Source organism: Homo sapiens, chromosome 7, assembly GCF_000001405.40.
Source record: "Homo sapiens chromosome 7, GRCh38.p14 Primary Assembly".
In the NCBI taxonomy this organism is placed as follows: Eukaryota; Metazoa; Chordata; class Mammalia; order Primates; family Hominidae; genus Homo; species Homo sapiens.
In genome coordinates, this window is record NC_000007.14 from 516,311 (window position 1) to 542,976 (window position 26,666).

Sequence of the window (26,666 nt, forward strand, 5' to 3'; positions counted from 1 at the left end):
ATAGTTCAGGCCTCTCCACCACCATAATTAGGTACAAATTTCCAAATGACTAGACCATGTGATTTCACTTAATCCCCGCATGCCCCCCCTTTTTCAGAGTCCTTTGCAGGGAGAGAAGAATCTTCATGTCACGTAACTTCTTCCAATTCTGCTGCCTTTAGTTACTCTTTTTAACAAGTTCATCGCAGAGCCCCTTTTTAAACCAGGTTAAGGCTCCGACTGGAGTTCCCAGGCCGAGTGCTCATTTTGAAAAGAGCGCCACGCACGCCTGGAAGAGAGACCTCGCCTTCTAGGAAGGGGCTCTCTAGCCCTGAGCGGGCGGGCGGCCACCCTACACCCTCGCCCCTCCCACCCACCCGTGGTCCACCGGGGTCCCCCGGGGTGAGAGGCCCCTTTAACCCTTGCCAACCCGCAGCAAAACTCTGTGCTTGCAAACAAGCTGTGTTCTCTAGTGGCCCGGCCCCAGGGCCCGAGGGTGAGCCGCAAAAATAGCCCCCAGGCAGCAGATGCGTCCAAGGCTTTTCATTGGGTCGTGAAAACAGAAAGACACCGGCTTCTGCAGCCACAGAGGCCCAGCCCTGCGGCAAGAACGCGGCACCAGCTCGCAGGGATTACAGAGGGGGCCGGGCCCTGACCCGGGGGCCGCCTCCGCCCGCCCGCCCGTCGGACCGGGAGCCGCGCCTGCCCTTGGGGCCTCGCTCCGCGGGCTGCCCGCCCGGCGCACGGGCCAGGGCTCTGCGCCCAGGGTCTGGGCCGGATCCTGCCGCTCCCCCGGCCCGAGGGCAGGCGCGGGGCCCGCACACCTGGCGGAGGCCGCGGCTGAACTTTGTGTGACACACGCGGCGTTTTCCTTAAAGGCGAAAACAATCCCGGGGCGAGCGAGCAGCCCTCGGCCGCCGCTGGGAGAGAAAGTGGAGACTGGAAGAGAAACTCCTGACTCATCCGCCCGGGCGCTTATGGCTGGGGATTGGATTCTGACCTTTCGGTGCGCTCCTGCGCGGCGCCCCGCCCGGCCCCAGCTCGGGGCGCACAGGCCGCCCGCCCGCGCCCTCCCCGCGCGCGGAGGGAAGGGGCGCGATTTACCTACGGAGTCTATCTCCAGGAGTCGCTGGAGGTCCCGGATGCTGTGGATCTGACTGCGGGCCAGCCTCTCGATCACCTCGCGGGGGATCTCGGCTTCCTGCAAGCAGAGGCCACACGGTCAGCGCCCGCGGCCCCGACCCCGCCGGCACGCGCCCCCGGCCGCCAGGAGCGCCGCCGCCCCGGGCCCGAGGAGACCCCGCGAGCGCCGGCCGCAGTCCCCGCCCCAGCCCCCGCGGAGCCCTCGCCCCGGCCCTGGAACCAGAAGCCGGGGGTGGGGCTGGAAGAGACCCCAAATTCTCCACCCGCATCCATGTTCCGCCCTTTGCAAAATCAAAGCCCCCCCCCCTTTATATTTTCAGACAAAAGCCCCCGCACTCCGGCCCCTCCACCCGGGGTGTCAGTTACAGAAGGTCTAGGGGGCAGCGAGGGGGCCGAAAGTTTCTGATTTAATAGTGAGATCAACATCTAGAAAGATCAAGTTAAAATGCGTCACGGGTCGGCGAGAGTCACGGCAGCCCTAACACTTTAATCCAGGCAGGGCTTAAATTTCACGCCCCGGAATCCCGGGCCGAACCCGTGGAGAGGTCTCTCCGTCTCACAAACACACGCACGCGCGCGCAGACACACACACGCGCACACACATCTCACTCACACACTCGCCCCACCCCGGGCTCCGGCCCAGCCGCGGCCCTAGCGCCGACTAAGACGCCCAAATCCAGCCGGCGGCCGGGAGAAGAAGCCTCCAGGGAAAGCGAGGGTTAAACTTCCACCTCGCGCAGCTCTCCGTGCCCTGCGGAGACCACCCTCACCTCTGGCCTCCCCCACTCCCCTCCCCGATTTTTAAGGAGAGTCGGGGGTCGCTGGGGAGCCTGAAGCACTAAGTTCCCACGACGGGGGCTGTGGAAAGTCATTCATCACAGCAAAGCTCCCGGGGATGGGGATGGGGATGGGGATGGGGGGGCGGGGACGCCGCGGTGGGAGGGTGCGGACGCCTGGCCCAGCCCCAGCTCGCCTCGCTCAGCCACCTGTAAGCAGGCCCGGGCGGGCGGGACTGCGCCGGCCCTGAGCCCCGCCGGGCTTGGGGACTGGGAACCGAGGGCTGCAGCTTGGCGCTGCCCACCCTGCCCGGCCAGGGGCTTCCGCAGCAGCCGCCCCTACCTATTTATCCGCCGCCCTTCTCTCCTCCCCAGGCTCCGCCGGCTCACACACACCCCCTTCCCCGCTCCCCGCACCCCGCTGCTGCAGCGCCCGCTGCGCCCCAGCTCCCCTTCCCCGGAGAGGACACTGCGCCCCCCGAAGTTTCTGCCCACTCGTCCACCTCGCTGCTCCCCGGTCCCCCCGAGGCAGAGCGACCGACGCAACACGCTGGAAACTCCCCACACACACTTAGGCATGGCAGAAAATAGAACCCAGTTGGGAAAATCTAAACATCGACCACCCTGGCAGGAACCAAAACGCTCTCTGCAGAGCCCGTGGCGCCCCAGCCGGCGGGGGGTGTGCGCCGGAGGAGCCGGCGCAGGGACGGGGCGCGGGGGCGGCACCAACCTCGGCCAGAACATGGGCGAGGTATCCGCAGCCGAGGAGCAGCAGGCAAGCCAAGGTCCTCATCGCGTCCCGAGGCGCTGGCTGCTCGGAGGAGAGGCGAGGCCGCGGGGCGGGCGCTCCAGCCGGTCTCCTGTGGCGGCGAAATTCAGTACCATCCCTTAGGGAGCGCGGCCCGGAGGAGGGTGGCGCGGGGAGCACGGAGCTGGCGGAGCGCGCCCGGCGCGAGCAGTGAGTGCGGAGAGGCAGGCAGCGCCAGCCAGGAGGAGGAGAAACAGGGAGTGCGCGCCCGCAGCGCGGGGAGCCTCCTGGGCCGCCGGGTAGGGGGTGGGGACGGAAGGGGCGGAGGGCGGGGGCTGGGCTTCTTCCTCGGTGCGTTCCCGGTGCTGGCCGCCGCCGCGCTCGCTCCCCGCGCTGGCTTCAGGAGCGACCCGGCCGGTAATTCTGCATATTTGCGGACATCAGCCCCAAGAAGAACTCCGGAGGGAGTCTGGGGCCGCCGCCGCCGCCGCCGCCACACCGATCACCTGCCTGGACGCCTGGCCCGGCCCCGGCTGCGAGCTGCGAGCCGCCCTGCGCGCCCACCGCCGGCCCCGCGCTCGCCTCCGGCCTCCTCTTGCAGCCGCCGCCCGGCCGGGCACAGCGCGGCCCAGCACCCCCTCCGCGGCGCGCCCTCGGCTCCGGCGCCGCGCTCCGCCCTCCGCTCGCCGGGGCCGGGCAGCGCCCGCGGCCGAGCCGCCTGGCAGCCACCACCCGCCGCCCGGGGCCTCGCTGCGCCGCCCGCGCGGGCCTGAGGGCGGGCGCAAGGCCGAGTCGGCGCCTCCGCCGCAGCCGCCGCCGGGAGAGGAGGAGGAGGAGTAGGCGCAGGCCCGGCTCGCCGGAGTTGGGCGGGCTCCGCAGGGCGCGCGTGTGGAGCCGGCCGGCGGCGGGGAGAGGGTTATAGCGCCGCCGCCGCGCCCCTCCCCCGCCCCCGCCCCCGCCCCCCCCCCCCGCCTCCCCCGGATTCCGGGCCTGGGACCCGCACCTCGGAAGCGCTCGGGGTTCGTGCGGACCCGGCAGGGCCCGGGCGCCGCCGCCGCGGCAGGGAGCACACACGCGCTCGCGCAAGCAGCTAAATCCATCAAAGCCCCGCGCCCGGCTCCGCGCCGGGGCTCCGCGCCCCTCCCTCGAGCTTGCCCACCCTCCAGTGCCAGCTGCAATCCTGCGGCACCGGGTGGGGAGGGAGGAGGCCGCCGCAGAAGCGCCGCCGTCGCCGGCTCGCCTCTCTCGGGCCCCAGCGGCGGCAGCGGGCAGCGCCCAGAGCTGCTGCGCCAAAAAGGGCCAGAGAGCCGGTCCCCGCCCCCGCCCCGGCGCTCCGGCCGCTCTCCACGGTTCGGATCCAGGGCCCCAGCCTTCCTCTCTCCATAAAAGGAGGGGGAGTCAGTCTTTGGGGAAGGAGGGGGGCGGGTTTGGGGCACTCACCTGGCGGCTGCCACGCGCCCCCGCCCAGGATCCGAGGCCTGGGGCATCTGAATGAGGACCCTCCACCCACATTTCCACTTGGGAGCGAGCTCCAGTCGGGGAAAGGGCCTGCAGCCCGCCTCGTCCCCACCCTGGGACCCCGCGCCCCCCAGTCCCCCACTCCCGCGCCGAAGGCAGGGCCGCGCCCTGAGCCGGGAAGTCGAGGGGATGGAAGGGAAAGGAGCCACCGGTGAGGGTCCCCCGGGTTCTGAGCCTCCCGCGTCGGGATCCGTGGGGCGCACAGAGCGCCACCTCCGGCCGAGGCGCAGCTCAGAGCGCGATGCGGGGGAGGAACGCGCGCGGAGGCCGAGGTCTGAGCGTGGCTAGACGGCTCCCACGCCGAGAAAGGGCGGGTGCGCCTGGGCTGGATGGATTTCGCCTCCCTAGACCAGGAGGGATTGGACCCTGACTACAGGTCCAGGTGCTCGTCAGTGCCCTGCCAGGGGGTCTACGCGTCCTGGTACCGGGTCCAGCGGGGTGGCGTGCTGTGCAGACCCCGAGGCTAGACGGCCTAGGCCCCTGGAGCCCAGGAGACGCTTCCTTGGGTGAGCAGCGGAGAATCCCGCCCGGCCCAGCCGTCACCCCCAACCCTGTCGATTAAACCCCTGCCCCCGTCGCGGTCGCCCTCCCTCCAGACAAAGGCCGTTAAGGCGCAGCCCCGCGGGCGGTCTTTCATCCCCAGCTAGGCCAGCTCTAGCATTTCAAAGGCCGAATCCGGAGAGCGCTTCGGGGGCTCTCCCCTTCCCCCAAATATTTGGGGAGCGACGCCTCTCCCTCCGCTCCCAGTGGGTCGCGTCTACACGCGCCCTTCCACACACCTGCAGGCCCCCTCCCCACGTCTCTCCCTTCCGTTGGCCGCAGCCCCACACCACGACCCCCGCGGTCAAGCATGCCCTCTGGGTGGTCAGGACCAAGCGGGACCGGGACAGAACCAGGGGAGCCTTGGAAACGTGGAGGAGCCCCTTAAAGCCAGGCCTTGTCCCTCCAGGGGGAACTTGCGGCTTGGGAGGGGACACCCACTGCATGGCTTCTGGAAAGAGCCGGACTCGCAGGGCCAGGACGCAGGCCGGACCCCGGCCTCATTCTTCGGCCAGTTATCCCGGAGTGGCGCGCATCCTGTCTTCCTGGGCCTCGGACTGCTCGCGCGCAGAGGGGGCCCGAGGACACCTCTGTGGGGTTAGAGGACTCGGTAAGACGGTGTGGAAGGCAAGGAGGAAGGTCGCGTTGTATTGGGGATGGGGTACCCGTCCCTCCCAGCTTGAGGGATCCTGGGGGTCCTCGCCGCCTCTGAGGGCCTAGATGGCTGCTTCCCTCGGCTCCCCTGCCCGGCCTGGAGCTACGGGTGCGCCCAGCTAGAGTTTAGGGCCACCTGGGGACGTGCAAGGGGCGCTGGAGCGAGGCGGGGGCTGGGGCGGGGCGTGGGTGCTTCACCCGCGGGGGACGCAGAGCTTAGGCGAAAGCGGTGCAGGCATCTCTCTAATCGCCGGCCGCTATTAAAAATAAAACCGCGACCCGTCGCCATGGCGACCACAACAACAGCGGCCGCGCGAGGGAGGCGAAAACTTGTGCAGCCGCGCGACAGCCGCCTTCTGGGGAGACTCGGGGCACGACGCACCCGGCGTGGGACTGGGACCCCCCTGCCCGGCCCCGCCACATTCTCCGCCGGATCCCCGGAAGACACAAGGAGACGTGGACCCCCACAGGCTTTTTTGGGGGGATTGGGCGTTGAAACCGCAGGGCTGACTTAACCAAGAGGTCACCGACTTGGATAAAAAACCCACGCCCGCGCGGACCCCCCTCCCCGGCCTTCGTTTCCATTCAAACTCCCAGCGTCCTCATTGCAGCCCCTGGGGAGGGGGACGGAGGGACGAGGTGGGTTTCAGGTGCTCGGCCCAGGAGGGGACGGTGCGACCCGGGCCCCGCCGGCGGGTTTTGCGCGCGGAGGCTGCGGCACCTGCCCCGCCCGCCCTGCCGCGATCCTTGCAGACGGGGGCGGTCACATGCTTCTTTCTGGCCAGGAATCGAGTTTCACTTCCAGCCGCTATTAGTCGGTTCACACAGTTCACTGCAAACATTTGATAATGAGGCTAAATATACTCCCGCGTCGGAGGAGGCGTGGGCGTCCCCGCCCAGGCCCGGGAGACAGAGGCGCTGACCCCGGGACAGAGCCTGGCTTTGTGCGGGAGGCAGACGCGCCCCGCGCGCCGCCCCCGAAACATTCGCACCCCATGCTGAGGCGCGCGTCTGGGAGTCCGTGGGCGCCCCGAGGTGAGCCCGGGGCCCCTGGCGGAAGCAGCGGGGAGCTCCCGGCGGGTGCGGGGAGGTGCTGGTGGGAAGCAAGGTGCACCTGGCGGCCTGGGATGTCCGGTCGCCCCCGGAGCCGGTGCATCCGGCCTCTCCCGGCGCGCCCCGACGTGCCCGCGGGCTCATAATTACCGTGAGTCAGGTGCCCCAAATAGGCCGAGCGAGGGGGGCCGTCGCGCAGCAGGGGCGGGTGGCCGGACGTCTGCCCGGGACTGGTTGCCTCCCGCCCCTCCCCAAGACCCTGGCACCCAGGGAGGGCGGGAAAGGCCTTGGCCATTCCTCTGGGTAGGGGACTGGAGAGGGGAAGAAACTTTCGCCGAGTCCAGCGCTGCCCCCTCATACCCATCCCCACCCAGGCTGCGTGTCCGGGGCCCCTCCGGGGCTTGGCACCAGCAGGCACGCAGCGATCGCCGTCGTTGTTATTTAGTAGTAGTAGTAACGGCTGACATTTACAGCGACGTCGATGGCGCCAGGTGCCAAGCTCTTTCCTTGTATAATTTCATGGACACTCACGCATCAACTCTAAGCGAAGACTTGGAGCGGGGCTCAGCACCCCAGGGGTACCTCTGCAACCTCGGTAAATATAGACTATCCTCAATTCGCAGGGGCATTTGTACGTGGGGTGTACAGGCAGGAACAGGAAAGACGCTGTGGCCACCCAGGAGTAGGGGCGGCAGCCAACACCCCCTGGATCCCCAGTTCCAAGGTGCAGGGAGGGGGGCAGAGGCCAGTTCCCTCCGCTCTCTGCCCCTTGACCTTGGCCTTGGTGAGCTCTGTCCCTAGACTGCCCTGGGTGTCTGTTCCCTCATCTGAAAAGCGTGAGGCCCACAGCCGTCACTGCACACAGCTGCCGTCACTGCACACAGCTGCCTCCACTGTCGGGAAGCCTCCCTCCTGCCCACCTGCCCAGGAAAAGCTGCGCTAGCGTGCCCTGGGCAAGCGCCCTGCTGGCCACCTGCCTGCACCTGGGTTGGGGGTGGGGGGACCAGCTGAGCACCCAAATCCTGGCCTCTGCCCCCAGCGCCAGAGCAGATTTCAGAACAATTTGTAATGACGAAACCCCACGTTTCCCTTTATCTCTGGGCAAGGCTTTCTTCGTCCTAGGCAATTAATCCAAAAGCAACACCAGCCGAGTGGGCTGGACTCCTTGAAGATCAAAACTGCCCAGCGCAGGCATTAATTAAGTCATTATCTCAGGCCCCCAGCGACTAGGGATCAGGCCTTTCCAGTTCACACTCTCCAGAAAGGGAGATAACTGCCCCGCCAGCAGGGTGGGAAGGCTCTCTCTCCATGTTGTTTTAACTCCCTATTAAATCATTTTATTTTAAATACACAAACAGAAATGAAGTTGAAAATAGCACAGGAGCCCACTATCACTGTGTGAACATTTTGTGAATGAAGACATGTATGAAAGGATGTTTGGAGGCTTCAAGAAACGAAAGCCGAGAGTCTAGCTAGACCAGAGCCATCCAGCCCAGGAGCGATGGCCACGTGTGGCCGCTGGACACGAGAGACGTGGCCAGTCCAAACTGTGCAGTGCGGTAAGGGCAGAACACATGCCAGCTTTCGAAGGCTTAGTAAAGAATGCAAAATTTCTCAATTGGGAATTTTTGTATGAATTTCAGGTTGAAAAAAACATTTTGGATATATGGTGTTAAATAAACATGATTACAATGACTTTCGCTGTCAGCCTCCCGGAGGCTCATTTTGCTCCTCTGGGCCACAGCCAGCTCAGAGGGTTGCTCTAGGAAATATCTACACGTTCTTGAAGCACAGGTTTATGTGCCAGGCACTGTACTAAGTGCTGGGGACACGGCGTTAAGACCAGGCCCTCACGGAGCCCTCACTCTCTGAGGAGGAACAATAAGTCAGAGAGCGCGCGAGTGCAGCCCTTCAGGCAAAGGATTTCAGGCCCAGGTCAGGAAGGCCTTGTCTGAGGAGTCTGAGAAGAAGTCAATTGACAACAGCTAGAACATCTAGGTCAGGCACTCCAGGCCGACACGACAAAGCAGGTGCAAAGGCCCCAGGGCGGGAACCAGCGTGGCTTGTTCACAGAACAAGGAGGTAGATCGCTTGCCCTTGGGACCAAAGGAAGGCTCTGGATTTTATTCTAGGGGCAGTGGAAGCCGTTGGAGGGCCTCAGGCAGGAACACAAGGTGTCGTGGCAGAAAGGAAGAAGGGGCCGGGCACGGTGGCCCACACCCGTCATCCCAGCACTTTGGGAGGGAGGCCAAGGCAGGAGGATCGCTTCAATCCAGGAGTTCAAGATCAGCCTGGGCAACACAGCAAGACCCCGTCTCTACTAAAACCCTAAAACTTAGCCAGGCTTGGTGGCATGTGCCTAAGGTCCCAGGTCCTCGGGAGACTAAGGCAGGAGGATTGCTTAAGCCCAAGAGTTTGAGGCTGCAGTGAACTATTATCACACCACTGCACTCAGCCTGGGTGACAGAGTGACTCTGTCTCAAAACTAAATAAATAAACAATAATTGTGTTATTCTGTCTCCATTTCTCGCATACTGAATTTAAGGTGGACTCAGCCAGCGGGTTCAGGCCCAGGGTCTGTCCTGCAGCTACAGTCAGGGTTGGTGGCTGCAGCTGTCATGGGGGAGCGGTGAGGTTGGGGGAACAGGGGGGCTGGCCTGCATCCCCCACTTTCAGGTGGGCTCAACTCCGTCTCGTGGCCTATTGGGGGCCAGCATGGGCTTCCTTACAGCATGGAGGCCTCCAGGGTCAAGCTGCCTCTGGGATGGCAGAGGGCTTTGTGTTCGTGCTCCCACGCCCACAGTGGAGGCAATACACCCTTTCCAGATCTAGCAGTACAGGTGCGCAGCACCACACCTCTGTACGCTCTCAGCCTAAGCTGTCCCCAGCCCTCCTGGCCTCTGGAGGAGGGGACGCAGAAACTCCATCCCGGACAGAGGGAGAGCCAGTGTGTGCACAGGCAGCTTCTAACACTGCTTCGTGGTTTCACACGGCTCCCTCATGGAGAAGGGGCTGGAGGAGGACAGGGAGGTGTGCAGTCATCTGGGTGACATATGAGGGTGGCTGGGCTTCCAGATGGCTGCAGTGGAGACCGTAAGAAGAGTGCACGAGGTAAGGCTTCCGAAACGCCCAGCAGGTTCCTGGCAGCTGCAGACAACTCAATTCTTAGCACTTGCCAATAGCTGGGGTGTAAACACTCCCGCCGTCGCTATTTCGGGCTATGCTCCTTGCCTCCACTGGGTCTGGCTCTTAAAACAGCAAGAAAGCAACTCGGAAGCTGAGTCAGCCCCGTCTCTCCACCGTGCCCACAGATCCTTCCCTGTTCCAGAGCTCCCGTTGGCAGCCAGCTGGGCTTCTCAGGGGGCATCTCCAGTCCTGTGCAGTCAGAGAAAACCAGGGAAGCATCTTGATCTCACCTAGAAATTAAGGCCATCACATCCAACACCTGCATTTTACAGGTGAGGAGGCTGACATTACAAGTAGTGGTGGTGGTGACATTTGAACCCAGACCCCTGTCCTCCGGGGCCTGTTTCCCTGGGAGCTGCGGACTCTGCGTGGAGACACAGAAATAGAGACCCAGATGGCTCCCGTAGAAACAGAGTCACCCCCCAGGGCAGCTGGAAGGGAGTGGGAGAGGACAGGTCCTCAAGGGCCTCTGCTCTCCACTTCCCTCCCCGCCTCGCCGTGTCCTCTCCCTTCCTCTCTCCAACCCCTGCAGGGGGAGGCCTGGCTGGGAAGAGACGTTTTCTGAGTAGATGTTTTGGCTGGGCAGACTGAGCTTTGAGAAGCAGCCAGGCCGAGCGGGGCTAGGGAGTGAGGGCATTGGGGAGCCTGAACTTTAGTGACCACTGCCCCTCCCAGGCCAAAGCCGCAAACCCCTCCCATCCCCAAGGGCTTCAGACTCAAGGCCCAAGTTCCTGCATGTTGGATGTGAATTCCGAGTTCCAAGGTGGGGCAGGCGTGGGCCTGAGTCATCCGGCAGGTCACTGGGGTCACCCGGTTAAAGCCCAGGCCAACCCCAGAGCGCTTCCCCTGGGCGCTGCCCACAGCCTCTGTTCCTCTCGTGACCGTGGATGGTTGGGAGCAGCCTGTGGTCCCTCATTCCATCCGGTTTTGAGGGCCTCACCGCTGTCTAAAGGTGCAGGTTAGACATCGGGAGAGGCGAAGGAGCCAGGCCAAGCCCCCGCGCCCCTGACCTTCCTCGGCCTCTGCTGAGGGAAGAGGATGAGACGCCGGCCCTGCCCCATGGAAAAGACCCCAAATCGGGGTGACCAGCACCTCCCTTGAGCAGAAGCACAAATCTGACCTTCACCAGCAGGGCTGAGGTGGAGGGGACCCGAGCTCATGGGGCAGAGAAAGGAAGTGGCCTGTCGCGGCCAGAGAGAGGGGCAGCCAGAAAGCCACATGCATGTATGCATGGGAAGCACAGAAACTTCTAGAACAAAGAAAGTATGTGGGTGGGAGGGGGAGGAGGAAGGTTAAGCATACTGTACTTTTATTTATTCATTTGAGACAGGGTATCTCTCTGTCACCCAGGCTGGAATGCAGGGGCACGATCTCAGCTCACTGCAATGCCCACCTCCCAGGTTCAAGCGATTCTCCCACCTCAACCTCCCGAGTAGCTGGGACTACAGGAGGGTGCCACCACGCCTGGCTAATTTTTGTATTTTTAGTAGAAACAAGGTTTTGCCATGTTGGCCAGGCTGGCCTTGAACTCCTGGCCTCAAGTGATCTGCCTGTCTTGGCCTCCTAAAGTGCTGGGATTACAGGCGTGAGCCACCACAAGGCCAACCATATCTTAGAGCCACAATAATCAGAACAGTGTGGCACCCATGTGACCAGAGACCCCAGAAAAGGCTCTGTTGTAAATGAAGAATTTTAAAAGACATTGAAAGGATTGTGGATTAAATGCAGTTGAAGCTGTTCTAAAAAAAAAAAAATCTGATGAAATCCTCATTTTACCCCACACTAACTTCAGATGTATTAAAAATTAAGTTTATATATATATATTAAAAGGTTCAGGGATAAACTTGTACCACGTGAAGCAAGGATAGGCACACATCCCCTGCCACATTCCTGCCAAAGATGTTTAGCCCTGATCGGACCTCAAGGAAACAAGGAGACAACCCAGACTGAGACACATTCCACTTAACACCTGGCCTGACCTGCAAAAACATCATTGCCATGAGAAAAGCACCAGAGGGCGACCGTTCTAGACTAACAGGAACTTAAAAGACCTGACAACTCAATGCCATGTTCCATTCTTGATGGACTCCCACATTCAAACCAGCAGGCAGCTCAAAAGCTGATTGGGACCACTGGGGAAATATTAGATTACTTTATTGTATCACTGTTGAGTCCTTTGGGTGTGCTGATGGTGTGATGGTGGTGCAGGAGGACCTCCTTGTTCTTGGGTGATGCCATGGCAGTTGGGGTAAAGTGTCATGATGTTTGCAGCTTATTTTCAAATGGTTGGGAGGGGAATATAGATGATGGACAGACAAATGATGAATAGATAGATGATTGATGGAGGGATGGATAGATAATGAATGGATGGATGGATACATGGTGGATGAATGGATGCATAGATGAATGAATGGATGGATGGATTATGGATGGATAGGTGATGAAGGAATAGATGATGGACAGATGGGTAGATGATGGATGGATGAATAGAAAGATGGATGGATGGATAGATAATGGATGGATAGATGATGGATGATGGATGGATAGATGATGAATGGATGAATGGATACATGGTAGATGAATGGACGCATAAATGAATGGAGGGATTACAGATGGATAGGTGATGACGGAATAGATGATGGACAGATGGGTAGATGATGGATGGATGATGGATGAATAGACAGATGATGGATGGATGGATAATGGATGGATGGATACATGATGGAGAGATTGATAGATGATGGATGGGTGGATGATGGATGGACAGACACATGATGGATGAATGGATGGATAGACAATGGAGGGATGGATACATGATGGATAGATGGGTGGATGAATGGATAGAAGATGGATTGATGGATATAGATACATGATGGATGGATGGATAGGTGATAATGAATAGACAGATGATGGATGGATGGATAGGTGATACATGGGTAGATGGGTGGAGGGATTGATAGATGATGGATGGATAGATGATGGATGGATAGATGGACAGAAGATGAATGGATATATGATGGATGGATGGATGGATGAGTAGATGGATGGATGGATGGTAGAGTGATAGATATAGGTAGATAAATATAGAGATAGATATAGATAGAAATGAGAGATAAAATGGGGACAACAGGTGAATGAGGTGAGGGGTATACAGCTGTTCATTGTATTATTCTTATGACTTTTCTGTAAAATTGAAGTTTTCAAAACAAAAAGTGGTGGAAAAAAGCTAATTCCTATTTCCTAGTTTTCCCATAGTTTATCAAACTTCTAAAATGGAGAGAACGTTCAGAACTTAGAAAGCACAGAGCAAACCCCAAATAAAAGACTAGAAGGAGTGTTACGTTTCATGTTTTATTATTTTTAAAAGGCTCTCCAAACCTTTTTATTTTATTTTTTGAGATGGAGTTTCACTCTTGTTGCCCAGGCTGGAGTGCAGTGGCACGATCTCGGCTCACTGCAACCTCCACTTCCCAGGTTCAAGTGATTCTCCTGCCTCAGCCTCCCAAGTAGCTGGGATTACAGGTGCCCGCCGCCACACCTGGCTAATTTTGTATTTTTAGTAGAGATGGGCTTTCTCCATGTTGGTCAGGCTGGTCTGGAACTCCTGACCTCAGGTGACCCGCCTGCCTCGGCCTCCCAAAGTGCTGGGATTACAGGTGTGAGCCACCGCACACGGCCTTTCATGTTTTAAGTTTAAAAAAAAGACCGTTGGGTTTGACAGTGTAGACAATCGAAAGATCTCGTAAAAAATTTAAAATCTAAACAAATGGAATCCTTTAGTTTTGCGTTACACTTAATTTCCAGTGTCCCTGTGTTCTTATCTGCATGTACAGAACAACATATTTGCCACATTTTTAAAGCACATTTATATATCGGGGTCTCTGCTCATGCTCAGAAAACCACTGATGATGTGCAGGAGAATCACAGCTGGGAAGAAACACAGGAGGACCTTTTCCTTCATCACCAACCATGCCCCCCCCCAGCCTCCACCCCCGCCCCGAGGGAGAGGCCTGGGGAGCACAGGCTACTTTCTGAGCTTCCGGAAGTTGCAGGTCAACCTGGCGGCAATTTGGCACCAGGAGCCACCAGTGTGGCCGCGGCCCCTGACCCTGTAATCCCACATCGGGCACCCAGCCTAAGAAAACGACACGTTTGCTTCAAGGGCTCAGAGCACCAGGATTTAAAACAGCAACTAGGAACAACCTAAGATCCTAGGTGCTCCGAGATCAAGATGCCAGAAAATAAATCAAATCAAATCAAATCCCAGGCGCAAACGGCCCTCGTGTTCTTACCCCTCCTCTCGCTGTTGGAAATCGCGGCTCCATTTATGGGTGGACAGAAAGACAGCCTCCTAGCACCGGGCTTATAGCTTCCACGCCCTGTTCTTCTCCAAGCCCTCGCCCGGCGCTGCCCGGTCCTCAGGGCGCGACACGACGCTGCCCGCTGAGGCGTCAGAGCTTGGGGCTGCTTGTCACGTTTCCTCCACACCCAGCGTCCGGATGCTCTGTGATGTGTTAATGTTACTTCTCTAAGAATCACTGTTGCTTCTGGGGTTTTTTTGTTTCTGTTTTTGTTTTGAGACGCAGTCTCGCTCTGTCACCCAGGCTGGAGTGCAGTGGTGCAATCTCGGCTCACTGCAACCTCTACCTCCCGGGTTCACGCCATTCTCCTGCCTCAGCCTCCCGAGTAGCTGGGACTACAGGCGTCCGCCACCACGCCCGGCTAATTTTTTTGTGTTTTTCAGTAGAGACAGGGTTTCACCATGTTAGCCAGGATGGTCTCGAACTCCTGACCTAATGATCTGCCCGCCTCAGCCTCCTGAAGTGTTGGGATTACAGGCGTGAGTCACGGCGCCTGGCCCCAGAAATGCTGTTGCTTCTGTTTTATAAGAGGCACTGGGGCATGAAAAGCTATATCTCTGATGGGGCTGTGTGCCTGGCGGGTCCTGCCTGGCTCTGGCCCCCAGGTGCCCTCTGAACGGACAGTGCTGCCTGGGGACGCCCCTGGCCACACAGGCCAGCCCCCGCCACTGGGCCAGCAGAGCTGGGCTTTAGAGTTGACCTCCTGCCGACTGTGTGACCTCAAGCAACTCACGCTGACGCCCTGAGCCTCAGTTTACCCGTCTGGGATGCGATGACTGCCACTCCAGTGCTGCTGTGATGGGAAAAACAGAAGCCGTGCTGAAGACCCTCCCGGCCCCTGCAGACTTGCCACCAGCCTGGTCCCTGTTCCGCCAAGCCTGGGAGTGGGGCCGGGCAGGGGCAGGCGGGGCAGGGGCAGGGGCGGGGGGCGGGGGGCGGGGGCCAGGGTGGCAGGGGGTGGGGGGCAGTGCTCAGCGGGTGGGCTGGTTGGGGGCGTGGCTGTCCTGTGACGGTGCCGTGGCTCGGTGGGCTGGCCTCAAGGGGAGGCTGGAGGGTCTGGGTGACTCCTCTTCCTGGCTGAGAGAGACTGCTTCACCCACACTGCCCTTGGGGGCCAAGTGAGGTGTGGGGGCAAATGGCTTTCTTGTGAAACAGACTCCGAACACCCTGGGGTAGGCACCAAACCATGCTGAGGAATAAAGAGCTGAGAAGTGGGAGGGAGACAGTAAACTGAAGGAGAATAGGAAAGAGGAGGAAAAGGAGGTGAGCAGGGAGGTGAGCAGGGAGGTGAGCCACGAGGTGGGGGGTGAAACAGAGAGAGGAGGTGAGGGAGGAGGTGAGCCCCAGGGTGGGGTGAGAGAGGAGGAGACAGGGGAGGTGAGGGGGACAGGGGAGGTGAGGGGGACAGGGGAGGTGAGGGGGACAGGGGAGGTGAGGGGGACAGGGGAGGTGAGGGGGACAGGGGAGGTGAGGGGGACAGGGGAGGTGAGGGGGACAGGGGAGCCACGAGGCGGAGGGTGAAACAGAGAGGAGGAGATGGGGGAAGTAAGCCACAGGGTTGGGGGTGAGACAGAGAGGAGAGGGGGTGAGAGAGAAAGGAAGTAAAAGAGCAAGAGAAGGTGAGAGAGAGAGGAGGTGAGAGTCAGAGAGGGAAGTCCCCAGCCCCGTGCCCACTCCATGGCTGCCTGGTCTTTCCCCTCAGCCCACGCAGAGAGCAGGGGGAAGCTGGTCCTCCCACCCCAACGCCCGTCAGGACCACGCTCACATCACTGCAGCAGACGGGACTGCATACGTACAGCATGGTGCCAACCAGTGGGACATGGAGACACCATCTCTCTGACCCCCAAACAGAACCTGACGTGCGCAGGTGTCCTAAACCAGCAGGACTCCCCAGTAGGCCCTGCAGGTGCAAGATCGAGCTCCAGTTTGCGGCTGAGGAGACCCATTGACGTCCACGCTCATGGTGGCCCTGACCTGGGAGCTCAGGGGGTGAGGCCAGGCGGGGGAACTCCTGTGTCCTTGCTGAAGTTCTGCGTTGGGGGCTGGTGACCTGACTGCTTAGCCTCCTGCAGGAGGATCCAGCTGCCCGTCATCTCCCACCTGTGAGTTTCCAGACAGGAAGAGAGAAAGCCACAGCCCACCCCACCTGGGTCTATCCTTAGACATCATGACCCTTGGCTGTAATGACAAGAACCCAATGCATTCTGGCCCAAGAAAGCAAGAGAATGCATTGGTCTATGTACCTGTTGAGCTCAGGAGTGAGCAGTTTCAGGCATGGCTGGATCAGGGCCCTCGGCCCGTGTCTTCAGAGCTGTCTCCTGCCCTCATCTCCCTTTCACGGCGGCAGGAAAGCAGACTAACACCCTCGCTGCCCCAGACTCTTGGAGTGGCTGGATCAGGCACTGGGACCTCGTCTCCCTTTCACAGCAGCAGGACAGCAGACTGACACTCAGCCTCACACTCACTGCCCCAGACTCAGAGCTGCGAAGCTGCATCTCACTGGCTAAGTCTGGGCTCGTGCTGCCCCAGGTCAGTGACCATGGTTGGGGACAATGCTCTGCTTGGCCAGATCTGGACACAGCACCCAGGACCCCTAGGGTCACCAATGAGAAATGGCCCCCGGCCCTCCAGGCAGAAGAGAACACCACGCTCCTCCCTTCCCAGGCCTGCCTGAGGGGACTTCCCTGTCCTCACCCAACTGCAGCTCCCGCACTGTCCTGGCTGGGCGACCTGTGACCCCTGGCAACTGTAACCCCAGACATAGCTGGCGAGCACTTAGCTGGAGCACTGAGGCGTGGGGTGGGAGAGACCTGGGGCTCAAACCTCCCCTCTGAGTGACCTCGGCACACTCTTCCTCCTTGGGGTCTCACCCCCTGGCCATTGGGCGAGGATTCGGGTGAGCAGTGGGTGAGCTCTGAGGTCCCTCCCTGTCTGGACCACTGGAGAAGCCATTTTGGCCTGGGGCTGTTTTTCTGGACAGGAGAGAACAAAATACATCAGATAATCTTATCCTCGCCTCGCTGTGACCCAAGGTGCACCTCTGGGCTGTGGCACAGACTCCCCTCTGGTGGGATAGCATCCCCCTGCCCCTGCGTGGAAATGGCAGAAACCAGGCTTCCCCCAGCACCCGGGACGTCCAGTCCCGCGGGGTGCCAGACGTGGGTGGAGGGAAGGAGGGAGGTGGCAGCTCCGCCGCTGGCTGCTGTGCACCTTGGATGGGTTGCTTTCGTCTCTGAGCCCCGGTGGCCTAAAGGTGATAAGGCGCAATGCAGCCCACGTGGCTGCTAGTGAGGGCTGTTTACAGGAACACCGCAACAGGCTCAGCACAGACATGGTGCGTAGCCCAGGGCAGCTGGCACTCGTCCTGGCCTGGGGGAGAGGGCTGTGTGTGATGAGGGGTGCACAGACCCACTGCCTGGCATACAGCAGGTGCCCAGTGAACAGGAGCAATTCTGCCCCACCCTGGTGGGACAGGAGCCCGGTCAGTGCCCTGCTCTTCACAGCCTCGTCTGTTGGGCTGGACAGCAGGCAGCCCCCTGAGCCGCAGGTGCCCGGTGATCCCACCTAGCACAAGCCAGACCTTCCAAGCCCTCAGCCGCAGCCAGGACCACAGCGCACCCCTCATCCTCGAAATCCAAAATAATCCACACAGCAAACTGTGGTGTCCAGAATGATCCCCAGATCTGCTGACTGTAAACTTCTGGGTGAGATTACCAGAGAGGGCCCGTCACTCTGTCTCCCCACTCATCTCGCTATCTCTGTATTGCTGTTTCTGTTCTGGTCTCTCCCCCCGGTCTCTGTCTCCCTCTCTCTCCATCTCTCCCCATGTCTCTGTCTCTCTCCATCTCTCCATTTCTCTCTCTCTCGCTCGCTCACTCTCCCCCTTGCTTTGATAGTGTGATTTAAGACACTTCCATTCAACAGTATTTTAAGTTTTTGTAGCAACAGGATCTTGCTAAGTTGCCCAAGCTGGTCTCCAATTTCTGGCCTCAAGCTATCCTCCTGCCTCAGCCTCCCAAGGTGCTGGGATTACAGGGGTGAGCCACTGCGCCCGGCTGCATTCAACAGTATTTATTTTGCACGTACTGTGTACTCTGTGTCCACCCCGTTCTAGTCAGGGGACGCAGCAGGGACACAGTCCCACCCTCATGGGACTGGACATCTGGAAGGTGAGGATGGGTGACAAACACGTGAACCAGGGGCTTAACCTGCCTGTTGGACAGTCTGGCTATTTCAGCTGATGCGTTCAGCTCCAGAAAATAGAAACTCAGCCCAAACACAGTCAGGGATCTTACTGGGAAGCCCAGAGGCGGGATTCAGGAGAGGTCTGATCAAGGGTCCGGCTCCACATCTTGGTCCTCCTCTTGGGTTCCCTCATGGTGACAAGACGGCTGCCAGGAGCGGCTGGAGAGCCCTGGTTCTCGTCAGCAAGAAAGAGTGCGAACCACCCGTCTGCCTACCGGTAAGATCAATGAAGCTCTTTCTCAGAACGCAGTCCTTGGCCAGGGGGCTGAGATGCCCACTCCTGAACTGCCATCCGACCCATGGATCGCCTGTTGTGAAGAGCGCCACGACCTCGCCAGCACTGACCCCTCTGGTCAGTTCTCTTATCTGATAGGACATCACTGCAGCATTGCACACCTGCCCCCGATGTGCCGCCTTCTCCTGTTTCAGGACCCCCAGCCCTGTGTTCTGGAGTCAACCCCGGCTACTCCTTCCCGGGCTCCTCTTTTCTTTATTGTTTTATCTTGTGAGACAGGGTCTTGCTCTGTTGCCCAGGCTGCAATCACAGCTCACTGCAATTTCCACTTCCCAGGCGTAGGTGATGCTCCCACCTCAGCCCCACGAGTAGCTGGGACTACAGGTGCAAGCCACCACACCTGGCTAATTTTTGTATGTTCTGTAAAGTTAGGGTCTCACTGTGTTGCCCAGGCTGGTCTTGAATTCCTGGGCTCAAGTGTTCCTCCCGCCTCGGCCTCCCACAGTGGTGAGACGCCAGGCGTGACCCACCATGCCTGGCCCGGCTCCTCCTCTTCACCCTGGAGGGTCCAGAGCTCACTCTTCACCGTCTTCTCATGGGGGCAACACTGCCTCCGTCCTGACAACTGGACTCGGGTCCAGCTCTGCCCAACACCTCTGCATGGGTGTCTAAAGACAAGCTGATCTCATTATGGCCCAAACAGAGCCCCAAACCCACAGCGCCCCAGCTTCGTCCCCCAGGCAACAATGACACCACCTCCCAGCCACCCAGGCCAGCAAGGGGCACCCGGCCTGCACCTTCCCCCTCACCTGGTGCCTCTGGTCTGGGGGAACCCCTGTTGACTCAACCTCTGAGCCTCTCCCAAACCTAACCAGGTAGAACCTCCACCTGGCCCCACCTCTTCTCCAGGGATAACTGTGGCCTCCCTTCAGCCTTCTCCCTGGATCCCCTACGGTCCTAGAGTGAGCCTTAATTTTAAAACCTAAGCCAGCCGGCTGGGTGCGGTGGCTCACCCCTGTAATCCCAGTACTTTGGGAGGTCGAGGCGGGCAGATCACCTGAGGTTGGGAGTTCGAGACCAGCCTGATCAACATGGAGAAACCACGTCTCTACTAAAAATACAAAATTAGCCGGGCGTGGTGGTGCATGCCTGTAATCCCACCTACTTGGGAGGCTGAGGCAGAAGAATCGCTTGAACCCAGGAGGGGGAGGTTGCAGTGAGCCAAGATCGCGCCACTGCACTCCAGCCTGGGCAATGAGAGTGAAACTGTCTCAAAAAAAAAAAAAAAAAAAAACCCTAAGCCAGCCAGGTCACAGCTCTGCTCCGTGGATACCCCAAAAGCCCAAGGAAAAGGGAAATCCACCATAAGACGGTAAAAGGAACCCCTGGCAGGAGAGGTGAGGGGCTTGGCTCCTGAAGACACCGCCCTTGCCAAGTCTGGGGCCTTCCCCTGAGTTACAGAGCACTTCCCTGGCAGATCACAGGTTAAAAATAATTCTGTCCTCCCTGCCCGGGCTCTTGTTGGAGGAGCTGATGGGGGCAGAACCCAGACCCACCTTCCATTAGCAAACCTCAGGGGCTAGGTCTGGCCTGGGCCCAAGCCAGCCCCACCTGGTCCCTAGGGAGCTCCTAGGAGGCAACACCGCCGGCTCTTGCTTTTCAAAGCCATTGTGGTCTTCTGGCCCGTCGGCGAGGCCGTGTGTGAAACCCAGCAGGAGGGGTCTCCAGGAACCACAGGGTGTCACCCAGAGTGTCCAACAGAGACCCCAGAATTCCAGAGAGGCCGTGAGGTACCACGGATGAGGGTCACTCAGCCCTGACGGCCCGGGGTCCAGAGTCTCCTTCTAGCCTGTTCCTGGATGACAGCCACGCTTACCCTCAGTATCCCAGAAATGATAACATTTGCTGCCATGGTTCTCTATTGCTGCCTAATAAACCACCTCCAAATGCAGAGTCTCAACCCAACAGTGAAGACCTCATGACAGGCACCATGGCCCACGCCTGTGATCCCAGCACTTTGGGAGGCCGAGGCAGGAGATCATTTGAGCTCAGGAGGTTGAGTCCAGCTTGGGCAACACAGACCTCATTTCTACAAAAAATTACAAAGTTAGCCAGGCGTGGTGGTGCGTGCCTATAGTCTCAGCTACTTGGGAGGCTGAGGCGGGAAGATGGCTTGGGCCCAGGGGTTGAGGCTGCAGTGAGCCGTGATCGCACCGTTGTACTCCAGCCTGGGCAACAGAGCGAGACCCTGCCTCAAAAACCAAAAACAAAACAAATTCATGACTTCACGGTGTCTGTAGTTCAGGAATTCAGAAACGGCTTCCCCGGGATCCTGTGGACCAGGCCGTGGTTGTTAGGTGTCGGTTTCTCACCCTGCAGCTGCTTGAGTGTCCTCACAACATGGCGGCTGGCATCCCGGGGAGCAAGAGGCCCAAACAGCAAGGCCAAAGCCACCGTGTCTTCTCTGACCACTCCTGGGAAGCCCCACCCCAGCACAGGCCCTGTCAATGCAGGAAGGGCTATGGGAGGGCACAGACATGGGGAGGTAGGACCTCGGGCCCACCTGGAGGCTGGCAGCCACCCTTGACTTAATGCTGCAGTGAGGATGAAATGAGCCAATGCCAGTGCCTGGCACATGGGGGAGTTTTCTCACCACTGGGCACCCCCAGCTTCTCCTCGGGAGACTTGCAGGGGCCTAAACTCATCCATATTCACTTCCAAGAAGTGGGCTCCGTGAAGCCTTGCCGAGCCGGGGAAGCAGCGACGGAGGGTGCCTAGGTGTGATGGAGGGTGCCTAGGTGTGATGGAGGGGGCCTGGGTGTGGTGGAGGGGGACCTTGTTCAGGGGCCAGGGGGCACTCACCTTCATGGTGCTGGAAGCCCCCAGGGACAGTGAGCCTGGCTTTCACCCTCCTGAAGAGTCCCCCCCCCAAAAAAGACATTGGCCAACCCAGCTCCCAGGCTTTCACTCTCCTGGTCCCCGCCAAAAAAAGACATCGGCCCACCCGGCTCCCAGGTGGGAGAGGGACCTGATCCACCTCCGGGGCCAGCCTGCCAGGGACCTGGCCTTACCACGACTGCCCTCAGCGTCCTCAGCTGTGAAGTGGGGCTGATTTGCCTACACTCCAGGGAAATCAGGAATAGAGAGAGTGAGTTAATCCATGGAGAGGGCTGGGAACAGCGCTGGGCACAGGAAGCACCAGGAAATCGACTCCCCCACCAGGCTGTGGCCCTCACTCACACGCCCCCCTCCCTCCACGCCTGGCCGCCGGCCTTGGGTGCAGGGAACACACCCACCCCAGCTCCGTGGTTGTGGGCGGCCCGGCCAGGCCCTGCTTAGGTTCTGGGGTGCACTGCAGGGGTGCACAGCAGGAGTGCGCTGCGGTGGATCAGGGCCGTGGAGGGCCCAGCCTGGGGCTGACCTGACCAGAGCCCAGGGGAGCCGGGGTCCCTGGAGGAGGGCGCCCCTGGTCCAGGGGCTGCAGAGGAATCTGAGGCGGCTTCCAGGAGGAGGTGGCATTTGAATCCAGCCTTGAAAGACAGCAGCAGCTGTCCCAGGCCTGGAATTTCCTCTTCCCATGCAGCCAGGCCCCACCCCTCTTATCTGCCTCCTCGGGGAGCTGGATCCCAGGGACCTTCCCGAGAAGGGCAGCCCAGCCTGGCCCCACCCCACCCCAAGGCCGCAGGCTGTGTCACCCGCCTGGAATGCACTTTCCAGTCCTCCCCTCCCTCCCCCATGCCAGCCCTTCACTTCCTGACCCAGCCGGCCAGGCCAGCCCCCAGGCCTCAGAAAATCTGGGGGCCCCCCCGGGCCTGTCACCCCAGAAAGGTGGGGGGAAGGGGGCACCCCCTAGACAGGAGGAAGGAGCTCCTGAGAGTCTCACCTTACAACCTCCCCATGGGGACAGCAAGCCCTCAGTGTCCCCTCCTAGGCCCCCAAGGAAGCCAGACTTGCTGAGAGGAACACAACTCACACATCCCCCCAGGGCCCCCACTTCCTCACCAACCCAATGGGGGCTCTAGGGGCGTCAGCATCCTGCGGTTTCTTAAAGACGCTGGCGACCCTCCTTCACTCCGGTGGCTCCTCCAAGCCTCTCTACAGCCCAACTGGACAGATGGGCATGGCCCCAAGGTGTTTCGAGCCAGCCAGAGTCCAGAGCTGGGGTCCCCTCTCGGGCACAGTTGCCCGCCCTACCCTTTCCTTCCCCATCCCTCAGACTGGTAGGGTCCCAGGAGCCGGCCTGGAGGTCAGACCAGGAATGCCCAGAAGCCAGTGGAGTCAGCAGGGCTCTGAGCATTCCCCACACGGGACCCTGCCTGCCACATAGGACCCCGCCTGCCACACAGTCACCTCCCCAGGCCCTGAGCTCAGAGCAGTTGCCCTCTGTCGCCTGCACAGGGGGTCCTGTCTGCCTCCCCTGGACTTGGAAGGACCCTTCCAGCTGGCGGGGGGCTCCCGTTTGGGGACAAGTGCCTCAGCTACGCCGGTGGAGCCTTGGTGAGGAACCCCTGTGCCCCCACTCACTGCGGGCAGAGGCACCACCTCTGGGGGCCGGTGTGAAGCCAGACTCCTAGCCAGCCCTGCAGCCTGTCCCAGGGGCCAGTAGAACCGGGAGGGGGCCGGGTGTGTAACTGCCTCCTGAGGCCGGCGAGTAGATTCCTGAGGCTCAGGGCGGTGCCCTCCTCTACCTGCCCACACACTCCAAGGGAGCTTCAGTCCCCACCTGCCAGCTGGAACAGGGGCTCCCTGAGGGCCCGAGTCCCCAACGCTAACACAGGAGGCACCAGGGAGCGTCTGCGGAATTAAACCAACACTCTGTGTGCACGTCACACGTTTAGCGGACACAGGCCCAGGCTCCCTACACTGGGGTCCCCGCCCCTGCTCTCCGGCGTTCCGAGCCTAGACGTGGAGGTGAACAGACACGTGGCCTCCTGCGCCGGGGGTGGGGTGGGGTGGGGTGGGGTGGGGTGGGGTGGGGTGGGGTGGGTGGTGAGGGGGTGTGCAGGGCTGCCTGGATGCACTCGGCCTAACGGCCCGGGAAGAGCCTGGGGCCTGAGAATTCCAGCCACCACCACCCCAGGGGTGCCGCCCACTGCTCACAGGGCCACCCACACCTCTAGCCACCTCATCGGGCCTCCAGGCGGCTGCCCTGTGTGGTGTGGGGGGACTCCCAGAGGGAGTGAGCCCGCCCTCCTAGGAGAAGCCTGGCCAGGTTCCAGTGGGGTGGTGGCCCGGCCCATAAACAGGAGGGGTTTATGGCCCAGTGACAGGCAAAACTGGTGGGGCAAGCCCAGGCTAGATCCCAACCCTGAGCCAAGGACAAGAGGATTCCAGAGTGGGAGCAGGAAGGCAGGGGTCCGTGGAACCAGCCTGCTCCCCTGCTCCCTACGGGCCTCCTCCACCCTATCTCAGGGACCCAGGCCCCAGTCCCAGAGCACCCAGGGGCCACCCCCACCCCGTCCCTGGCCAAGCCTCACCCCCTCCAGAGCGGCCTGTCACCACCTCGGGGTGGGAGCAGCCTCTCTGCTCTCCATCAATGCGGAGAGTTGATACCAGGGTTGTCTACCTTCATGAAAGTTACTTGTTGTGATTTCTTCGGCCTACAGAAAAATATAAACGTGGGCTCCTAGGAGCACCAGCACATGACCAGGACCTCGTCCTTCTAAAGCGTGTAAAGTTTGCTTTACTGTATTGACAGCAACAATAATCAGACCAAAAGCAAGATGACAAGACTCCTTCTCACTCGGGTAGTTCGGAGGAGCAAAGTGTGAGAGGCCCAGCGGGGCTGCAGCCTCAGCTCTGATACCCCAGCCAGACCCGCTGTCTCCCAGACTCAGTTTCCCCACCCCGCCTAAGGTCTCCGGGGCTCCTCCGCGCAGCGATTCCATTCCTTCTGACCCAGGCTGCCTCTGCAAGAGTCCCGTCTGGGTTTAGAGTTGGTCGTACATTCATTCATCCAACATCTGAGTGTTCCCTGTGTGCATGGCGCACAGTGTGGCCAGACACACACTCTGGTGTAGAGGAACCAGCCGGCCTGTGCCCGTATCATGAACGCCGTAGCCTGTCCCTGGGACTAGACAGCCAATCAGGCGTTGTGCGCAGCATAACTAGCTTGATGCCTGCTGACCCCCAGCCAGAGCTCACCTGGGTCAAGAGTTCCTGGACCCTGGAAGGTGTGGTGGTTTGAAAACAGGACCACCAGTCCCTTGATCTCTCACATCAGCAAGTGGGGGTCTGTGTCCCCCTGGATCCAGGCAGGCTGTCTCATCATCAACCACAGACTGTGCTGGAAACAATGCTCTGTGGCCTCTGAGACTCGGTCGCAAATGGCCACGCAGCTCACACCCTGCCTGCTGGAACAGGGGCTCCCTGAGGGCCCGAGTCCCCAACGCTAACAGCTGGCTGGAACCAGCTGGCTTTTGGAGCCCTCAGACGTCTCGAGGGAAATCTAGCTCCACTAGAGCCACCATGCTGGGAGGAAGCCCAAGCCACACAGGATGTAGGCGCCGCCCCACCCAACCCCAGGGAGCCCGCTGAGCCCCCCACCCCCACCTGCAGGGAGCTTGCTGAGCCCCCTCCCCCACTCCCAGGGAGCCCGCTGAGCCCCCCACCCCCACCCCACCCACAGGAAGCCCACTGAGCGCCCCCACCCACCCCGACACCCAGGGAGCCCGCTGAGCCCCCTACCCCACCCCCAGGGAGTCTGCTGAGCCCAGACCCCAAGCATCACGGAGCACACAAGCGCCACTCACCGGGCCCTGTCTGAGGTCTGCAGGGCAGCATCCGTAGTGAACATGAGGCGTCTGTTTCGTGCCACCACGTTTTGGAGTGTGATGCACACAGCAATCACCCGACAGATCGAGGAAGGGCCACAGGACAGGCTGCGTCCATGGAGACGTTTGCCGCTTTTCCAAAACTGGGGGCCGCTGAGAGGCACCTGGGCGTCCCTCGTCAGGGAGTTCTCGGGGCCAGCCACAGGTGGGGAGACGCTTGGCTTAGGTAATAGGAGGATAGGAGAGGAGGCCTCACTTCCAGCTGCTGTGCTCAGGGTGGGGCACGCAGAGGCCTTGAAGAGTAGGAGCAGGCAGTATTCCAGGATGACTGCAGGCCCACCGGGCCCACTGGGAGCTGAAGGACATGGCGCACACAGCAGAAGCTCCGGGAGGCACATGCCGGACGTGGGGAGGGCCCAGTTCCCATCACTGTTGGGTGTGACAGAGACGTCATACGCGACAGCAGCTCCACAGCCGTGAATGTCCTCTGCACCAGACCCCATTCAACCAGCTCCACCTACACAGTCTCGCGTCAGCTCACCCCCAACCCCACGCAACCAGCTTCACCTGCGCAGTCTCGCGTCAGCTCACTTCCAACCCCCTGCAACCAGCTTCACCTGCGCAGTCTCGCGTCAGCTCACCTCCAACCCCACGCAACCAGCTTCACCTGCGCAGTCTCGCTTCACCCTCACCTCCAACCCCCTGCAACCAGCTTCACCTGCGCAGTCTCGCGTCACGCTCACCTCCAACCCCCTGCAACCAGCTTCACCTGCGCAGTCTCGCGTCAGCTCACCTCCAACCCCCTGCAACCAGCTTCACCTGCGCAGTCTTGCTTCACTCTCACCTCCAACCCCACGGGGCAAACATTATGACCCCACTTTAGAGATGAGCAGTGTCAGAGGAGTTAAGGAACGTGCCTGGGGCCACACAGCAAGGAAGAGCTGGGACTAGGGTTTGAGGCACGTTAGGTGACCGTGTAATTCTCTGCTTTACCCAGCACAGCGCACGCCAGCCAGCCCGGGCAGGGCCGCAGCATCCCAGGCCGGGGATCGCCAGGCTCCTTTTCAAGTGCATTTCTGAGATACAACAGTCAATTTCCCCAACTGCGCAAGTGAAAACAATGTTTGGCTAAGGAGGCTGGTGAGGGGCTGACAGTCTTAATTCTAAGGGACGTCTCCAGCGGTGACACGGGGCTCCGTCCCCAAGCAGACCCCCTGCTGGGATCAGTGGAACCCGACCCAGTGACCTTCTGCCTGGCTGAAGAAAGCCCTATGGGTGGATTATACAACGCGCTGCGTGCCTGCAAGATCTGACTGTAAAGCTGTTCCCATGAGCAGCCTCTGAGAGCCTTCGTGGCCCCCAAGCAGGCCAGGGGCAGGCCCAGACTGAGGGGTGAGGGGAAGGCCTCCCTGCACTTGGTGGAGAAGTTAGAACCAGACGAGAGGAACCCTCGAG

The 26,666-nt window shown here is 60.4% G+C and overlaps 1 protein-coding gene and 1 long non-coding RNA gene across 18 annotated transcripts in view, besides 15 other annotated features; one reads left to right on the plus strand and one right to left on the minus strand.

Moving 5' to 3' along the window:
* PDGFA (platelet derived growth factor subunit A) overlaps positions 1 to 4,390 on the minus strand; it is a 23,443-nt gene extending 19,053 nt beyond the window's left edge. For 2 of the 17 annotated variants that reach the window (NM_001395363.1, XM_011515415.2), the window contains exons 1-3: positions 4,087 to 4,390; positions 2,629 to 2,758; positions 1,088 to 1,180 (exon numbers count right to left, since the gene is read on the minus strand). In NM_001395363.1, the coding sequence (NP_001382292.1) occupies positions 1,088 to 1,180; positions 2,629 to 2,758; positions 4,087 to 4,158 (295 nt within the window). In that variant the 5' untranslated portion in view covers positions 4,159 to 4,390. Of the gene's footprint in view, positions 1 to 1,083; positions 1,181 to 1,488; positions 1,678 to 1,892; positions 2,020 to 2,628; positions 3,537 to 3,649; positions 3,917 to 4,086 lie in introns of those variants that run through there. The other 15 variants (XM_011515418.2, XM_011515416.2, NM_001395366.1 and 12 more) reach the window with 10 other exon arrangements.
* Positions 483 to 1,405: an enhancer, noted in NCBI's record as "H3K27ac hESC enhancer chr7:556430-557352 (GRCh37/hg19 assembly coordinates)". NCBI's record gives its function as "activates a minimal SCP1, AML or CMV promoter by ChIP-STARR-seq in primed H9 embryonic stem cells {active_cell/tissue: H9 hESC(primed)}" and the evidence as "EXISTENCE:reporter gene assay evidence [ECO:0000049][PMID:30033119]".
* Positions 563 to 662: a silencer, noted in NCBI's record as "silent region_17805". NCBI's record gives its function as "represses an Ori minimal core promoter by ATAC-STARR-seq in GM12878 lymphoblastoid cells {active_cell/tissue: GM12878}" and the evidence as "EXISTENCE:reporter gene assay evidence [ECO:0000049][PMID:35858748]".
* Positions 2,328 to 3,249: an enhancer, noted in NCBI's record as "H3K27ac hESC enhancer chr7:558275-559196 (GRCh37/hg19 assembly coordinates)". NCBI's record gives its function as "activates a minimal SCP1, AML or CMV promoter by ChIP-STARR-seq in naive H9 embryonic stem cells {active_cell/tissue: H9 hESC(naive)}" and the evidence as "EXISTENCE:reporter gene assay evidence [ECO:0000049][PMID:30033119]".
* Positions 2,506 to 2,595: a silencer, noted in NCBI's record as "silent region_17806". NCBI's record gives its function as "represses an Ori minimal core promoter by ATAC-STARR-seq in GM12878 lymphoblastoid cells {active_cell/tissue: GM12878}" and the evidence as "EXISTENCE:reporter gene assay evidence [ECO:0000049][PMID:35858748]".
* Positions 3,056 to 3,195: a silencer, noted in NCBI's record as "silent region_17807". NCBI's record gives its function as "represses an Ori minimal core promoter by ATAC-STARR-seq in GM12878 lymphoblastoid cells {active_cell/tissue: GM12878}" and the evidence as "EXISTENCE:reporter gene assay evidence [ECO:0000049][PMID:35858748]".
* Positions 3,476 to 3,565: a silencer, noted in NCBI's record as "silent region_17808". NCBI's record gives its function as "represses an Ori minimal core promoter by ATAC-STARR-seq in GM12878 lymphoblastoid cells {active_cell/tissue: GM12878}" and the evidence as "EXISTENCE:reporter gene assay evidence [ECO:0000049][PMID:35858748]".
* Positions 3,666 to 4,005: a silencer, noted in NCBI's record as "silent region_17809". NCBI's record gives its function as "represses an Ori minimal core promoter by ATAC-STARR-seq in GM12878 lymphoblastoid cells {active_cell/tissue: GM12878}" and the evidence as "EXISTENCE:reporter gene assay evidence [ECO:0000049][PMID:35858748]".
* On the plus strand, positions 4,081 to 8,922 carry PDGFA-DT (PDGFA divergent transcript). The gene is made up of 3 exons (NR_033963.1): positions 4,081 to 7,006; positions 7,770 to 7,970; positions 8,544 to 8,922. It is a non-coding gene; the product is annotated as a PDGFA divergent transcript (long non-coding RNA).
* Positions 5,094 to 6,015: an enhancer, noted in NCBI's record as "H3K27ac-H3K4me1 hESC enhancer chr7:561041-561962 (GRCh37/hg19 assembly coordinates)". NCBI's record gives its function as "activates a minimal SCP1, AML or CMV promoter by ChIP-STARR-seq in primed H9 embryonic stem cells {active_cell/tissue: H9 hESC(primed)}" and the evidence as "EXISTENCE:reporter gene assay evidence [ECO:0000049][PMID:30033119]".
* Positions 5,671 to 5,750: a silencer, noted in NCBI's record as "silent region_17810". NCBI's record gives its function as "represses an Ori minimal core promoter by ATAC-STARR-seq in GM12878 lymphoblastoid cells {active_cell/tissue: GM12878}" and the evidence as "EXISTENCE:reporter gene assay evidence [ECO:0000049][PMID:35858748]".
* Positions 5,871 to 6,010: a silencer, noted in NCBI's record as "silent region_17811". NCBI's record gives its function as "represses an Ori minimal core promoter by ATAC-STARR-seq in GM12878 lymphoblastoid cells {active_cell/tissue: GM12878}" and the evidence as "EXISTENCE:reporter gene assay evidence [ECO:0000049][PMID:35858748]".
* Positions 6,331 to 6,640: a silencer, noted in NCBI's record as "silent region_17812". NCBI's record gives its function as "represses an Ori minimal core promoter by ATAC-STARR-seq in GM12878 lymphoblastoid cells {active_cell/tissue: GM12878}" and the evidence as "EXISTENCE:reporter gene assay evidence [ECO:0000049][PMID:35858748]".
* Positions 14,377 to 14,573: a silencer, noted in NCBI's record as "fragment chr7:570324-570520 (GRCh37/hg19 assembly coordinates)". NCBI's record gives its function as "represses an EF-1alpha promoter that drives an FKBP-Casp9 reporter gene in an ReSE screen in phorbol 12-myristate 13-acetate-treated (for megakaryocytic differentiation) K562 erythroleukemia cells {active_cell/tissue: K562(+PMA)}" and the evidence as "EXISTENCE:reporter gene assay evidence [ECO:0000049][PMID:32094911]".
* Positions 16,712 to 17,269: an enhancer, noted in NCBI's record as "H3K4me1 hESC enhancer chr7:572659-573216 (GRCh37/hg19 assembly coordinates)". NCBI's record gives its function as "activates a minimal SCP1, AML or CMV promoter by ChIP-STARR-seq in naive H9 embryonic stem cells {active_cell/tissue: H9 hESC(naive)}" and the evidence as "EXISTENCE:reporter gene assay evidence [ECO:0000049][PMID:30033119]".
* Positions 22,352 to 23,295: an enhancer, noted in NCBI's record as "H3K27ac-H3K4me1 hESC enhancer chr7:578299-579242 (GRCh37/hg19 assembly coordinates)". NCBI's record gives its function as "activates a minimal SCP1, AML or CMV promoter by ChIP-STARR-seq in primed H9 embryonic stem cells {active_cell/tissue: H9 hESC(primed)}" and the evidence as "EXISTENCE:reporter gene assay evidence [ECO:0000049][PMID:30033119]".
* Positions 23,296 to 24,237: an enhancer, noted in NCBI's record as "H3K4me1 hESC enhancer chr7:579243-580184 (GRCh37/hg19 assembly coordinates)". NCBI's record gives its function as "activates a minimal SCP1, AML or CMV promoter by ChIP-STARR-seq in naive H9 embryonic stem cells {active_cell/tissue: H9 hESC(naive)}" and the evidence as "EXISTENCE:reporter gene assay evidence [ECO:0000049][PMID:30033119]".